Source organism: Homo sapiens, chromosome 21 (assembly GCF_000001405.40).
Source record: "Homo sapiens chromosome 21, GRCh38.p14 Primary Assembly".
Taxonomy (NCBI): Eukaryota; Metazoa; Chordata; class Mammalia; order Primates; family Hominidae; genus Homo; species Homo sapiens.
Window position 1 is genome coordinate 39,313,773 of NC_000021.9, and position 14,231 is coordinate 39,328,003.

Sequence of the window (14,231 nt, forward strand, 5' to 3'; positions counted from 1 at the left end):
GCCTCCGGGGACTCGATGAGGAGAAAGTGACGCGGAGGCAAAGACCTGGGCGCCGCAGCAGCGAGTGGGGGAGGGGAGGGCGCGTGGTCCGAATCCCTGCGCGCAATGAGGCGGCTGCCCGGGCTTTGTGAGGCGGCAGCGCGACGCCGGGTGGCCCAGCAGCGGGCGGGTGCCGGGGGCGGAAGCGCGGCCACAAGAGGGGGCGATTCACCGCCGCCCCCCGTGGGACCTGGGTCCTCTACGCGGGACCGCAGGGGCCCCGAGTCGCGGGTTGGGCAAGGTCGCCCGCTCCGGGTCGCTCGGAAGGGTCATTTCACGGACCGGTCGTCTGGGGCCAGTGCGTCTTGCCCCGCACGGAAGACCCCTCGCTTCGAGGACAGGAAAGCTTTTAAAGTGAGGATTGGCTCGCCGCGCCTCCCGCAGAGGGGAACGCCGCCCGGACCCGCGCTCCTGGGGCGGGGGCCTCGTATGCTGGCGTTGCCGGAGCGTCTGCGGCGCTGAAGGCTGCCGAGACCCAGCCACATCCCCCACAAGCCAGCAGCCCGGCAGAAAATTACATAAAATGCAGCGCTTCGCCGAGGGGGTGCGAGTCGGGGGAGCAGCGCGCAGCTGCGGCTGACGGCTCGGCTGGATCCATCCAAGCATGGACAGGAAAACGGGACTGTGGGGAGAGGGTGGTGCAGACGGGCCGCAGACCCTCCTTAGGAAGAGAAGCCGGAAACTAGGGAGTCATGTGCAGTTAGAATCCTCTTGGAAGACTAGTAGGATGTGAGGTTGGAGAGGTGGACGACGACCAGAAAATTCCCTTGTCTTGCCAGGCTTCTGACCTAACTATGAGTTTCCTCCGCGCATCCAGCCTGCCCTGCTCTGGCCCCTAAAGTACAGCAGTAACACTCAGTGGTGTCCCTGCCTTCCTGGAATGCGCGTTAACAATTCTGATTCTTACTCATGGCAATAACCTACACACCACATAGACGTTAAATGTGGTTCGGGTCAGACTCTAGGGCAGGACTCACTGCCTGCACCTTGTCTTGGCTCCACCAGCTTGACCTTGAGCAAGTCACAACCTGTGGGTCTCAGTGTTCCTTACTAGTAAACCGTAGGTAATTCCTCACTAGTAAACAGATAATATTTGTGCCTGTCTCAAAGTTGTGAGGATTTAATGAATTTGTGTTCCTGGTATACAGTAAGCACCGTGTACAAGTTGGCTTTTATTTACACCAAATAGCAAAAGCTTTTATTTATTTTGAGACAGGGTCTTGCTCTCAGGCTGGAGTGCAGTGGCGCGATCTCACCTCACTGCAACCTCTGCCTCCCGGGTTCCAGCGATTCTTGTGCCTCAGCCTCCCGAGTAGCTGGAATTGCAGGCAAGCGCCACCACGTCCGGCTAATTTTTATATTTTTATATTTTTAGTAGGGACGGGTTTCACCATGTTGGCCAGGCTGGTCTCGAACTCCTGGCCTCAGGTGATCCACCCGCCTTGGCCTCCCGAAGTGCTGGGGATTACATGCATGAGCCACTGCGCCTGGCCAAAAGCTTTTATATATATTTATAAATGGACATAGATATCTGTGAGGCTGTCGGGTATGGTGGCTCACGCCTGTAGTCCCAAGCACTTTGGGAGGCCGAGGCAGGCGGATCACGAGGTCAGGAAATCAAGACCATCCTGGCCAACATAGTGAAACCCCCGTCTCTACTAAAAATAAAAAAATTAGCCAGGTGTGGCAGTGCGCGCCTCTAGTCCCAGCTACTTGAGAGGCTGAGGCAGGAGAATCGCTTGAACCCCGGAGGCGGAGGCTGCAGTGAACCGAGATCGCGCCACTGCACTCCAGCCTGGGCGACAAGGCGAGACTCCGTCTCCAAAAAAAAAAAGCTATTTGTGAGGTAACAATCTAAATATGTTTGAGCTAGTGCAACAGTAAGTTAACTCCTTACATCTGTTAATTCAGCAAGCACTAACAAGTGATGGAGATTAAAAAAAAAAAAGGAATGAGCCACAGCTTTGCCATCAAAGACTTCAGCGTCTCTTAGGGGAAACAGATGTAAGCAAATAATGACACGATTTAGGGCAGAGATATATCAGAAGATCAGCTTGCCTGTGCGTGGGGGAAATGTTAGGGAAGTTTGGGTTATCCAGGCTACAATGTGTGGAAAGGGATTTCGCACATACAAACAACAGAGGGCCAAGACATGAATATGATTTCTAGTTTAAGGAACCAGAAGTTTAGTATGACTACTTGGGGTGACTTTGGAGAGGATGGGACCATGATGTCAGAAGTTGAAATTGGGAGCAATTGAAAGATTCTAAGCCAGGAAGGAATCATTTTCTATTTTAGGATGGATTTGAGAAAGTTAAGACCAAGAGGCACTTAACATACCCCTGAAATAGAAAAGAAATGATGCATGAGGGCGTTGGTCATAAGGATAGAGAAGAGACAAGATCAGAAGTATGTAGGACAGTAAATCTGCAAGATGAAGTTGGGGTGAAATAAAAACCACAAAAATCTCGTTTGGGGCTTTCCAAGGTTGTGCCAACAAATAAGGTAGGGCATACAGGCTGGTAGCTAGATTGTTAAGATGAGTAACTGCTTGCAACAACTTGATTATTTGAAGTTACAGTGCATAGATGACTGTGGGACAGTGATCTGATGCTGCAAGATTACCAGTGTTACCAAATGACAAAGACATCAAGAGGGGAGAATTTAAACTTTCAATGATTGACCAAGGAGTTGTGCATTTCATTTTGTAACAAGGGCGTAAGATTAAAAACCCCCTAAAGATATTACAAGAATTTATATCCCAAGCTCTGGTCATTGTCCAAAATTATCGTTCTGATACTGGCACCATGATAACCATTACAAGAGATCAGAAATGATGACACGAGCCCAGACACAGTGGCTCACACCTGTAATCCCAGCGCTTTGGGAGGCCAAGGCCAGAGGACTGCTTGAGCCCAGGAGTTCGAGACCAGCCTGAGTAACATAGTAAGACCCCATCTCTACAAGAAATAAAAAATAGCCAGGGGTGGTAGGTGTGTACCTGTAGCCCCAGCTACTTAAGAGGCTGAGGCATGAGAATGGCTAGAGCCGGGGGGGATTGACGCTGCAGTGACCCATGATCACAGCACTGCTCTCCAGCCTAGGCAGCAGAGCAAGACCCTGTCTCAAAAAAAAGACACGATGACATGAGTTTTCCTTTACAAGAGCCTTGGGAGTCCTTTTACAACTTACTATCACATTCATGACAAATATTCTTTCTAAATTTTGAATAGGAACAAAGATTTCTAACAAGAGAGAGAATATCTTCCCGATTCGACTCCCATATGTCAAGAGACTCAGATGTGACTCATATTTGCCTGCCAGGAGGAGGAAAAAGAAATACACTGTCCAGGAGCAACTCCTTAGTGGGTACCCACCAGAAGTGGTCTCCAAACAAGGCAAGAATCTGTGTATTCCTCACACAATTCAATCCCAGCCATTCCATATGTACACACTGAGGTTTGCTTTTGGGTAAATGGAAATAACTTTAGAGTTTCACCACAAGAAAGCTACATGGTAAGCAAGTGTTGGAAAATCTTAACAGTGGGTGACATTAAGCTATAGGGTTGCATTTTCAAGGGAACCAACATCTTATGCCGTGGCAAGCAACTCCTGACTGGATAAACAGCTCTTAGATGTCATTGATAGGCTCAAGCTGAGGCGCAGAGGAAGTATGGCCCAAGGGCATATAGCTGGTAAGTGGTGGCTGGACTGCAATCCCAAGTAGACAGTATTATCTTAGACTGAAACACAAACACTGCAAAGTCCATTCTCCCTTGGCCACGTTTCACAAAAGAGGAAATGGGACCTGAAAATTAGGAGACTTACACAGGATTGCACAGCTAGCGCATCAGAGAGCTGACATTTGGAAGCCCACGTGATAAGTACGTGTGTAATCTCATTTACCGCAGGCAACTCTTAGATTCTGTTATTCCCATTTTAAGAATGAGGAAACTAGTCTGGGCGTAGTGGCTCTCGTCTGTGCTATCAGCACTTTGGAAGACCAAGGCAGGAGGACCGCATGAGCCCAGGAGTTCAAGGCTGGTCTTAAACATAGTGAGACCCTCTCTCTACAAAAAATTAAAAACTTAGTCCATGCATGGTGTTGGGTGACTGTAGTTTGAGCTATTTGGGGAGACTGAGGCAGGAGATCACTTGAGCCCAGGAGTTTAAGGCTGTCACAAGCTATGGTGGTACCACTGTGCTCCAGCCTGGGCAACAGAGCGAGACCCTGTCTCAAAAAAGAATGAGGAACTAAGGCTAATAAAGTTTAAGAATTTGCCTAAAAATGGAAAGCTTTTTTTTTTAATCTGTCTGTGAATGAGAGGAAAATAAAATTCAGTAAGGCCTTCCAAATCACCACTTAGGAAGCCCAACAACGTTAAATATGAATGCATATCTAGAAAATGGTGACCAAAGAAGTCTGGTTCCAACAATTCACATAAGAGAGTGGTCAAAATGGAATGAATTAGTAGATTAGAGTCCATTTCAAAAGACTCTGAAAAATGAGATAAGGAAATCTGTGAGCAATGGAGAACATGCAAAACAACTCAGATACCTAATCCAAAGCCTAATATTAGTTTTAATGCAAATTTGTGTTAACTGAATTTAGGTTCATTCAGGAGGCTGTGCTGATGTTGATGTACACACAACATCAGCATACCTCTGAAGGGCAGGAAGTAGATGACGTTGGACCTCCAGAACACTATACCACAAACTGGATCAGCACCTAGAGGTGAAATTAAATGCACACAAAAACCTGGATCACTTCATTCATTCATTCAACAAAATATGTGTTAAAAGTCTTCCCTGGCTCCTGGGCTGTTTTTTGTTTTGTTTTTTTCCGCTTTAGAGACAGTATGTCATTCTGTCACACAGGCAGGAGTGCAGTGGTACAGTCAGAGCTCACTGCAGCCTCGCAGTCCTACCGCTGAGTACTTGAGACTACAGGTGTGCACCACCATGCCTGGCTAATTTTTTACTGTTTTTTAGAGATGCGGGTCTTGCTCTGTTGCCCAGGCTGGTCTCAAACTCCTGGCCTCAAGTGATCCTCCCGCCTTGATCTTCCTGGACTTCTGTTGGATAAATTCCCTAGGAAGAGGAGAGTTAACACTTCGATAGATTTTATTTATTTATTTATTTTTTAGAGACAGGGTCTCACTGCATTGCCTGGCCTTAAGTGACCCTCCTGTCTTGGCCTTCCAAAGTGCTGGGATTACAGGCGTGAGCCACCACACCTGGACTTTGATCGATTTTTGGAGGACTTTCAAAGTAAAAATGAAGAAGGTATCTGATCTTTTGATAAGCCCTTAGTCACTAGTAGATATTATATTGCATTTAATTCCTGATGCCCTTCCTCCACCTACTAGTGGTGTCATCTTTCCCACAGGACCTTTTCTTCCTTTTAAGTCTAACCCAACCAGCTGTCCCCTTAATGCTACTTGTCCCTGCCTTCCTCAGCAAATTGTTTCCACATTTATCTCTTCCCTCTCCAACTTCTGCCTCTCCCTTGCCATTGGCTTCTGTCCTATTTGTTCCCAGCTTGCAGGCGCTGGCCCATGTCTGTCTCCAAGTCTTACTCGTTCTTACTTTGAAACATTTCTCACAGCACTAGAGAAAACACAGTGTGGTTGGACAAGACCTTGGGAACATGGGAGCTGGGATCAGAATGTGTCTGTGTTTGGATGTCGGAGTTGGGCAACCTCTTGGCTCGGATATTTTTCTGTTCGTTTTGTTTAATAATCTTTAAAATAAGCATGACAACTAATAACATTTATTGGATATGTTTGTATGCTGGACACTGTCCTAAATCATTTCCATGCATTATTTAAGGATCATGAGACAGCTAGAGGTGTTTGTGAGCATTTCCAGAGAGCATGCCTGTGAAGCTCGCTGAACAATGCCCAGCTCTCAACATGACCCTGTTATATAAGAATAATTCTTTTTCTCTCCATTCCCACTTAGTTCAGGCCCTCAATCATCAACAAGCATCCTCCTTAAAGTTCTCCCTGACTCTCCACCTAATTAATCCTGTCATTTTATTTTTTTCTTTTCATTTATTTATTTTTATTTTCTTTGCCACTTCTGTATCTTCTTTGGAGATAATCCTGTCACTACTTTTAAAAACCTTAAGTGCAACTTAACATATTGCTTCCCTGTTCACGTCTTTCTCATTCGCTGTCACCTCAAACCCAAACTCCTTGGCTTGCTTTTAACACTGTGGAGGACATTCTACTCTCCTCCCTCCCTGCTCCACACCCAGGAAAGATGACTGTGCAGTAAAGCCATGGCTCGCTTGCCCTTGAGTTTCCAATGGGATTCATCTGGTAAGAGGCCTCAGCCAGAGATGGAAGGGTGGGAGGAGAGTGAGGTTGGAGTTTCCATTTTCCCAGCTCCTTTCCTGCCAAGCCACAGGTTGATAGTAACTGCTATTTGTGTGCATATAGAGACCCTCTCTTTGCACATAGAGACCCTCTCTGGGCTTTAAGACCACTGCCTCCCCTGCCCCTTAAGGAGTTGGGCTTCCCTTTTTTTTCTTGTTGAAACAGTGTCTCAGTCTGTCATCCAGGGTGGAGTGCAGTAGTGCAATCACGTCTCACTGCAGCCTCGATCTTTCAGGCACAATTGATCCTCCCACCTCTGCCTCCCAGGTAACTGGGACTACAGGCACCCACCACCACAACTGGCTAGTTTTTGCATTTTTTCTACAGACGGGGATTCACCATGTTGTCCAGGTTGGTCTCGAACTCCTGGGCTCAAGCAATCCTCTGGCTCAGCTTCCCAAAGTGCTAGGATTATAGGTGTGACTACCATACCCAAGCCGTTAATCTCTTTTCAAAAACCTTAGAGTCATATCTTTTTTTTTTTTTTTTTTTTTGAGACAGAATCTTGCTCTCTTGCCCAGGCTGGAGTGCAATGGCATGATCTCGGCTCACTACACCCTCCGCCTCCCAGGTTCAAGCAATTCTGCCTCAGCCTCCCCAGTAGCTGGGACTACAGGTGCACACCACCACATCCAGCTAATTTTTGTATTTTTAGTAAAGACAGGGTTTTACCATGTTGGCCAGGCTGGTCTCGAACTCCTGACCTCAGGTGATCCACTTGCTTTGGCCTCCCAAAGTGCTGGGATTACAGGCGTGAGCCACATGCCTGGCCAGAGTCATAACTTTTATATCATACATGCAACTCATCAGTAAACCATCCAATTAGCTTACCTTCAAAATGTATCCAGAATCTAAGCACTTCTCATCCGGAAGAGCACCACAACCTCTTATGTCTTACTGCTTCTACCTTCATCCTATTTCTGTGTATTCTCAGGCAGCTGGAGGGATCCTGTTAAAACTTAAGACAGGGCCAGGCGTAGTGGCTCATGCCTGTAATCCCAGCACTTTGGGAGGCCGGGGCAGGTGGATTACCTGAGGTCAGGAGTTTGAGACCAGCCTGACCAACACAGTGAAACCCTGTCTCTACTAAAAATACAAAAATTAGCCGGGTATGGTGGCGTGTGCTTGTAATCCCAGCTACTCAGGAGGCTGAGGCAGGAGAATTGCCTGAACCCAGGAGGTGGAGGTTGCAGTGAGCCGAGATCGAGCCATTGTACTCCAGCCTGGGCAACGAGAGCGAAACTCCATCTCAAGAAAAAAAAAAAAACAAACTAAAGACGGACTTGTCCTTCCTCTCTCAAAATCCTCCAGAGGCTCCCATCAGACCCAGAGGAAAAGGCCAAGTCCACACGATCTGGCCTCTCTCTGGTTTGTCTTACCTCTCACCTGACTGCTCCCCTTCTCATAGTGCTCCAGCCTCACTGTGGCGTGACCTGGCCCACGGCTGCCTCAGGGTATTTGTACTTGCTGTTTGTTCTGCAGGAATGCTCTTCTCCTGGAAAAACTGCATGGCTGAGTCCCTCCCCTCCTTCAAGTCTTGGCTCAAATGTCACATTTTCAGTGAGACCTTCCCTAACCACCCTAAGTACAATTTAAACTTATCCTCACTCTGTGCCCATTTCTCTTTTACTCTTCCTGTGTTCTTTTCCTCCATAGCACTGTTGATCTTCTAACCTACTGTAACATGTCCCCGTCTATTTTGTTTATTGTCTATCTCTTGACCTTCTATGAAGGCAGACAGAGATCTGTGTCTGTTTTGCTCTCTGACACATCTGCAGGGCTATGATGAGTCCTGACATACTTATGGTAGGTATGCAATAAATATTTGTTGGATGTTTAATGAAAAATTGCTCAACTAGACAGTCCCTCAAATATGAGATAGTTATGCTTTCAACATTTCCTCAAATCTTTCAGCCACTGTGGTGGTTAGATCTGAAGACAAGCCTGGGCGCGGTGGCTCACACCTGTAATCCCAGCACTTTGAGAGGCCGAGGCGGGCCGATCACTTGAGGTCAGGAGTTCAAGACCAGCCTGACCACATGGTGAAACTCCTGTCTCCACTAAAAATACAAAAAAAAATTAGCCGAGCTTGGTGACAGGCACCTGTAATCCCAGCTACTCAGGAGGATGAGGCAGGAGAATCACTTGAACTTGGGAGGCAGAGGTTGCAGTGAGCCCAGATCGCACCACTGCACTCCAGCCTGGGTGACAGAGCGAGACTCTCTCAAAAAAAAGATCAGAAGACAATCTGCAGAAACTCGTTGACCCATAACATACCTGGAGATACGGCCTCCTTGGCTCAAGGCTCCCCTCAAAGGCAGCAGGATAGTCAAAGTCTCTGGAGCGGAAGGGTGAGTGGAAGGAAACACTTTCAGGAGGAGCAATGGAGGCTGCTTTAGGAGAGGATCCCCATGCTACAGGAACGGGGCATCGTGTCCATATATTTCCCAGGTGCCCCGTGCCCTCCGTGGCCAGCCTGCTTCAACCCACTGTCAGCAGCCTGTTTCACAGGCTCCATCTCCCTGAGCCCCCGCAGAACACAGCAGTCACCCCTGGCTTCCCCCAGCCTCTCTCTCAGACTGGCTCAGTACCCTCTGGTTTCCTCAGGGTCTCGCTGATCCCAAAGATGAAGAGACAAAACCGGCCTTGCTTGCCCCCAAGGTGAGACTTCGGATCTGTGGTGAGGGAGGGAAAAATTCCAGCAGACCCAAGAGGAAGGCTACAGAAGAAAGGACAGAAGCGTGGAGAGAAATTCTAAGCAGGAGGCTGGGGAAGAAGGAAGAGCTTCAGGTCACTGGGTCACCCCACCAGGAGATAGTCCCCTTGTGGCCTTGAGACTTATGCAATGGGCAGATGCAATCTGGGTACCTAAGGCAAGGATTGCCCTTATTCTGGCCATGACATTTAACACCTAATTGCAGCAATAACCCCTCTTTTCCACCTGGAGAAAGCTTCCTGGCCCCTCTTTTTCACTTGTGGGTAAGTCTGGCCAAGAGCAGGGTGAAGAAACCCATAGTCTAACACAAAACCACATTTTTTATTTTTATTTTTTTAATTGTAGAGACAGGGTCTTACTGTGTTGCCTACACTGGTCTCAAACGCCTGGCCTCAAGCAGTCCTCCCACTTCAGCCTCCCAAAGTGCTGTGATTACAACACAAAACCACCTTATCATTAAAAAATTAGGGCAAGGAACAGTGGCTCACATCTGTAATCTCAACACTCTGGGAAGCCAGGGTGGGAGGATCACTTGAGTCCAGAAGTTCGAGACCAGCCTGGGAACACATACAAAAACCCCACCTCTACAAAAAATACAAAAATTAGCCAGGCATGGTGGTGCGTGCCTATAGTCCCACCCACTCAGGAGGCTGAGGTGGGGAGGACAGCTTGAGCCCAGGAGCTGGAGGTTGCAGTGAACCGAGCTTGTGCCGTTGCACTCCAGCCTGGGCGACTGAGAGAGACCCTGTCTCAAAAAATAAAAATTAAAAAGCTTTTAAAAAGTTAAAATATTGAAGCCACCAAAGGTTAATATATGAATATTGGTAATTAGATGAGATTAAGATGATTTTTGGCTTGAGAATCCAGATTCACAAATCTTTTTTTAATTTTTATTTTAGGTTCAGGGGTACATGTGCAGGTTTGTTACCTGAGTATATTGCATGATTCTAAGGTTTGGGGTATGAATGATCCCATCACCCAGGTACTGAGCATAGTACCCAACAGTTAGTTTTTCTTTTCTTTCTTTCTTTCTTTCATTCTTTCTTTCTTTTTTTGAGATGGAGTTTCACTCTTGTTGCCCAGGCTGTAGTGCAATGGCGCGATCTCAGCTCACTGCAACCTCCGCCTCCCGGGTTCAAGCGATTCTCCTGCCTCAGCCTCCCGAGTAGCTGGGATTACAGACATGCACCACCACGCCTGGCTAATTTTGTATTTTTAGTAGAGACGGGGTTTCACCATATTGGTCAGGCTCAGGAGTTGGTCAGCTCCTGACCTCAGGTGATCCACCTGCCTCAGCCTCCCACAGTGCTGGGATTACAGGTGTGAGCCACTGCACCCAGCCTCCCACCCAAATTTCATGTTCAGTTGTAATCCCCAGTGTTGCAGGTGGAGCCTGGTGGGAGGTAATTGGATCACAGGAGGTGGATCCTTATCTCTCTCTCTTTTTTTTTTTTTTTTTTTTTTTTTTGAGACAGAGTCTTGCTCTGTTGGCTGGGCTGGAATACAGTGGCACGATCTCGCCTCACTGCAACCTCTGCCTCCCGGGCTCAAGCGATTCTCCTGCCTCAGCCTCCCGAGTAGCTGGGATTACAAGCCTGGCTAATTTTTGTATTTTTAGTACAGACGGGGTTTCACATATACTTCACTCATACAGGTGGGCCCATATTTCCTACATGAAACAGGACCCATACATAGTTCACTTCTAAGTGGGAAAATATGAAAATACGTCTTTTAACAAAAACCTATATATGAATATTTATTTGTAAGGGTCTTAGTCATGAAATCATCAAAAATTGGAAGCAATCAAAATGTTCTTTAACTTGTGAATGGATAAATAAATTGTGGTACATCCACATAAGGCAATGCTGCTCTATAATAGAATGAACCCATGATACACACAGCAACTTGGATGACTCTCAAAAGCAGCATGCTATGTCACAGAAGCCAGGCTCAGCAGGCTACACACATAATCATTCCATATACGTGACATTTTTACAAAGGCGAAACTCTAGGGACAGAGAACGGACCAGTGCTGGCCAGGGGCTGGAGGTGGAAGGAGGGGCTGAGTACAAAGTAGTTTCAAATAATGTTTTGGGGTAATTGAAATATTCCATATCTTGACTGTGATGACATCGATGTGTTTGTCAAAACTCATCGACCTGTTTACTAAAAAGAGAGAATTTTATTGTATGTAAATTACACTTCGGTAAACCTGACTTTAAAATAGCAATGAGTTGGAAATTTCAGGAATCAAATAACCTAGAGATTTGTCAAAGGGCTTTTCTCCTGCCTCTCAGCTTTACCAAATGCTTTATTGCCTAGCATTATGCTATGAGGTTCATTTCAGTCCTGTGCTTGTGAGATTGTTTTTTTTTTTTTTTTTTTTTTTTGAGACAGAGTTTCGCTGATCTCGGCTCACTACAACCTATACCTCCTGGGTTCAAGTGATTCTCCTGCCTCAGCCTCCCGAGTAGCTGGGATTGCAGGCGCCCACCACCACGCCCGGCTAATTTTTGTAATTTTAACAGAGATGGGGTTTCACCATGTTGGCCAGGCTGGTCTCAAACTCCTGACCTCAGGTGATCCACCCATCTCGGCCTCCCAAAGTACTGGGATTATAGGCATAAGCCACCGCGCCTGGACCCCCTCATACTTTTTTAACTTTTAAAATTCATTCATATAAAAGCATATGTGTAATGTATTTTTAATTTTGTTTTTGTTTATTATTTTGTAATGTATTTTTTTACATGTATTATTTTGTAATGTATTTAGTATTTTGTAATGTATTTATTTTTTATTTGTTTGTTTGAGACGGTCTTGCTCTGTCACCTAGGCTAGAGTGCAGTGGTGTGATCACAGCTCTTTGCAGCCTCAAACTCCTGGGCTTTTGCCATCCTCCCACCTCAGCCTCCCAAGCAGCTGGGGCTACAAGTGTGTGCCACCACACCTGGTTAATTTATTAATTTTTCTTTTGAGGAGAAGGGGTCTTGCTATGTTGACCAGTCTGGTTTCAAACTCTTGGCCTCAAGTGATCCTCCAGCCTCTGCCTCCCAAAGTGCTGGGATTACAGGTGTGAGCCACCACTCCTGGCCAAAATAATATATGTAATGTAGATGTAAGGTATTACACTCAATATTAAAATAAATTGCTTTGAAGCCAGCATCTGATGTAAGAATTAAAACATCATCAACATCATTGAAGCTGCCCTTCTGCCCTTTCTTTTGTTTTTTGTTTTTTGAGACGGAGTCTCGCTCAGTCACCCAGGCTGGAGTGCAGTGGCGTGATCTTGGCTCACTGCAACCTCCGCCTCCTGGGTTCAAGCAGTTTTCATGCCTCAGCCTCCCAAGTAGCTGGGATGACAGGTGTGTGCCACCACACCCAGCTAATTTTTGTATTTTTAGTAGAGACAGGGTTTCACCATGTTGGCTAGGCTGGTCTTGAACTCCTGACCTCAGGTGATCTGCCCACCTCCGCCTCCCAAAGTGCTGGGATTACAAGCGTGAGCCACTCGCCCGACTGAAGCTGCCCTTTCTATAGCACTCCCCTGCTGGTCCCCAGAGGCATCCACTGGCCTGAACTTTATGTATATCAGAATCTCGCTTTGCTTTTTATGAGTAGTTTTACTAGATATGTAGGATTCCCTTATAACATTGTTTAGCTTCCTTGGTTTTGAGTTTGGTAAAAATGGAATCAGCTAGGTGCAGTGGCTCAAGCCTGTATTTGCAGCGCATTGGGAGAGCAAGGCAGGAGGAGGACTGCTTGAGGTCAGGATTTGGAGACCAACCTGGGCAACATAGCAAGAGCCCATCTACACAAAAAATTAAAAACAAAACAAAAAATGTATCCAGGCTGGTGACCTGCACCTGCAGTGCCAGCTACTCGGGAGGCTGAGACAGGAGGATCACTTGAGCCTGGGAGGTCGAGGCTGCGGTGAGCTATGATGGTGCCACTGTACTGGGGATCATTCATATGTAGATTGTGTCAGCTTGAAAACAAAAGTTCATTCTTATGCTTCAAAGGAAGAGATTGTATTGAAGAAACTGCAAGTTGTGGCCAAAGTTAAGGAAACCAACCAGGTGCAATTGAAGCTCCCAGGGATGAGCAGCTGTGGAAAGCCATGACCACCCTAGGCCTGATGGAGCCAGGGAGAACACCTGTGCCCTGAGAGCTGGGTCACTAGGTCACTGGCTGAGGAGGTCCACTGGGAGCCACAGCCGTGCAGCCACTGCCGGCACAGCTCTAGCAGGGGAGAGATACTCCAGGCTCTCTTTTGCCCTGCTGGTGTCTCCTGTTGGGAGAATCTGGCTGGAGCTCAGCTGCAGGAAGACCCTAGTGCAGCAGTCTGTTGGATTCAGACTGTTGGAACATAGCACAGAGCAAAGGACGGAGTGTGATCAGGGAAGGGGTTGGAAGCATCTTTTCTCAAAATTTTCTCACTCAATACAGAATTGTTTCAAACGTTCATTCCTGTTGAGCATGGCTGTGATTCATTCATTTTTAAGTAGTTTAATATGCCACTGGGTACAAAGACCACAATGTATTAATCCATTCTCTTGTGGTTGGATGTCTGGGTTGTTTCTAGCTTTTTGGGTTTTTTTTGTTTTTTTTTTTTAGTTTTTACAATTATGAAAATGAATACTGTATGAAGGTTTCTGAGATAACGGAAAGAGGCCTTTGCCCACAACCAAGAGTGCCATCAAAGGTGGGAGAGATGGGCATATGGTATATGCCTGCAACCCCAGCATTTTGGGAGGCTGAGGCAGCAGGATCATTTGAGGCCAAGAGTTTGAGGTCAGCCTAGGTAGCCTACCAAAACTCTGTTTCTACAAAAACATTTTAAAACTTAGCCGGGCATGGTAACATGCGCCTCTAATCCCAGTCTCCTTGGGAGACTGAGGCAGGAGGATGACTTGAGGCTAGGAGTTCAAGGCTGCAGTGAGCTATGATCGCGCCACTGCACTCCGGCCTTTGCTACAGAGCAAGAGCCTGTCTCTTAATAAATAAATAAATAAATGAATAAATAAATAAATAAATAAAATTAAATAAAGTGGGAGATATCTCGTGCTTTTCCTCAGTCAGAGATGACCTAGCCA

The 14,231-nt window shown here is 46.7% G+C and overlaps 1 protein-coding gene and 2 long non-coding RNA genes across 3 annotated transcripts in view, besides 3 other annotated features; 2 read left to right on the forward strand and 1 right to left on the reverse strand.

The window, feature by feature from the left end:
* BRWD1 (bromodomain and WD repeat domain containing 1) overlaps positions 1-7,440 on the reverse strand; it is a 137,037-nt gene extending 129,597 nt beyond the window's left edge. The window contains exon 1 of the mRNA XM_017028373.2: positions 7,254-7,440. The gene's annotated coding sequence lies outside the window, so the exon portion shown is untranslated. The remainder of the gene's footprint in view (positions 1-7,253) is intronic.
* Positions 135-1,143, forward strand: BRWD1-AS2 (BRWD1 antisense RNA 2). The gene has a single exon (NR_111942.1). It is a non-coding gene; the product is annotated as a BRWD1 antisense RNA 2 (long non-coding RNA).
* Positions 174-343: a silencer, noted in NCBI's record as "silent region_13326". NCBI's record gives its function as "represses an Ori minimal core promoter by ATAC-STARR-seq in GM12878 lymphoblastoid cells {active_cell/tissue: GM12878}" and the evidence as "EXISTENCE:reporter gene assay evidence [ECO:0000049][PMID:35858748]".
* Positions 653-1,348: an enhancer, noted in NCBI's record as "NANOG-H3K27ac-H3K4me1 hESC enhancer chr21:40686351-40687046 (GRCh37/hg19 assembly coordinates)". NCBI's record gives its function as "activates a minimal SCP1, AML or CMV promoter by ChIP-STARR-seq in primed H9 embryonic stem cells {active_cell/tissue: H9 hESC(primed)}" and the evidence as "EXISTENCE:reporter gene assay evidence [ECO:0000049][PMID:30033119]".
* Positions 1,349-2,043: an enhancer, noted in NCBI's record as "H3K4me1 hESC enhancer chr21:40687047-40687741 (GRCh37/hg19 assembly coordinates)". NCBI's record gives its function as "activates a minimal SCP1, AML or CMV promoter by ChIP-STARR-seq in primed H9 embryonic stem cells {active_cell/tissue: H9 hESC(primed)}" and the evidence as "EXISTENCE:reporter gene assay evidence [ECO:0000049][PMID:30033119]".
* Positions 1,935-9,446, forward strand: BRWD1-AS1 (BRWD1 antisense RNA 1). The gene is made up of 3 exons (NR_046655.1): positions 1,935-2,043; positions 3,273-3,437; positions 9,030-9,446. It is a non-coding gene; the product is annotated as a BRWD1 antisense RNA 1 (long non-coding RNA).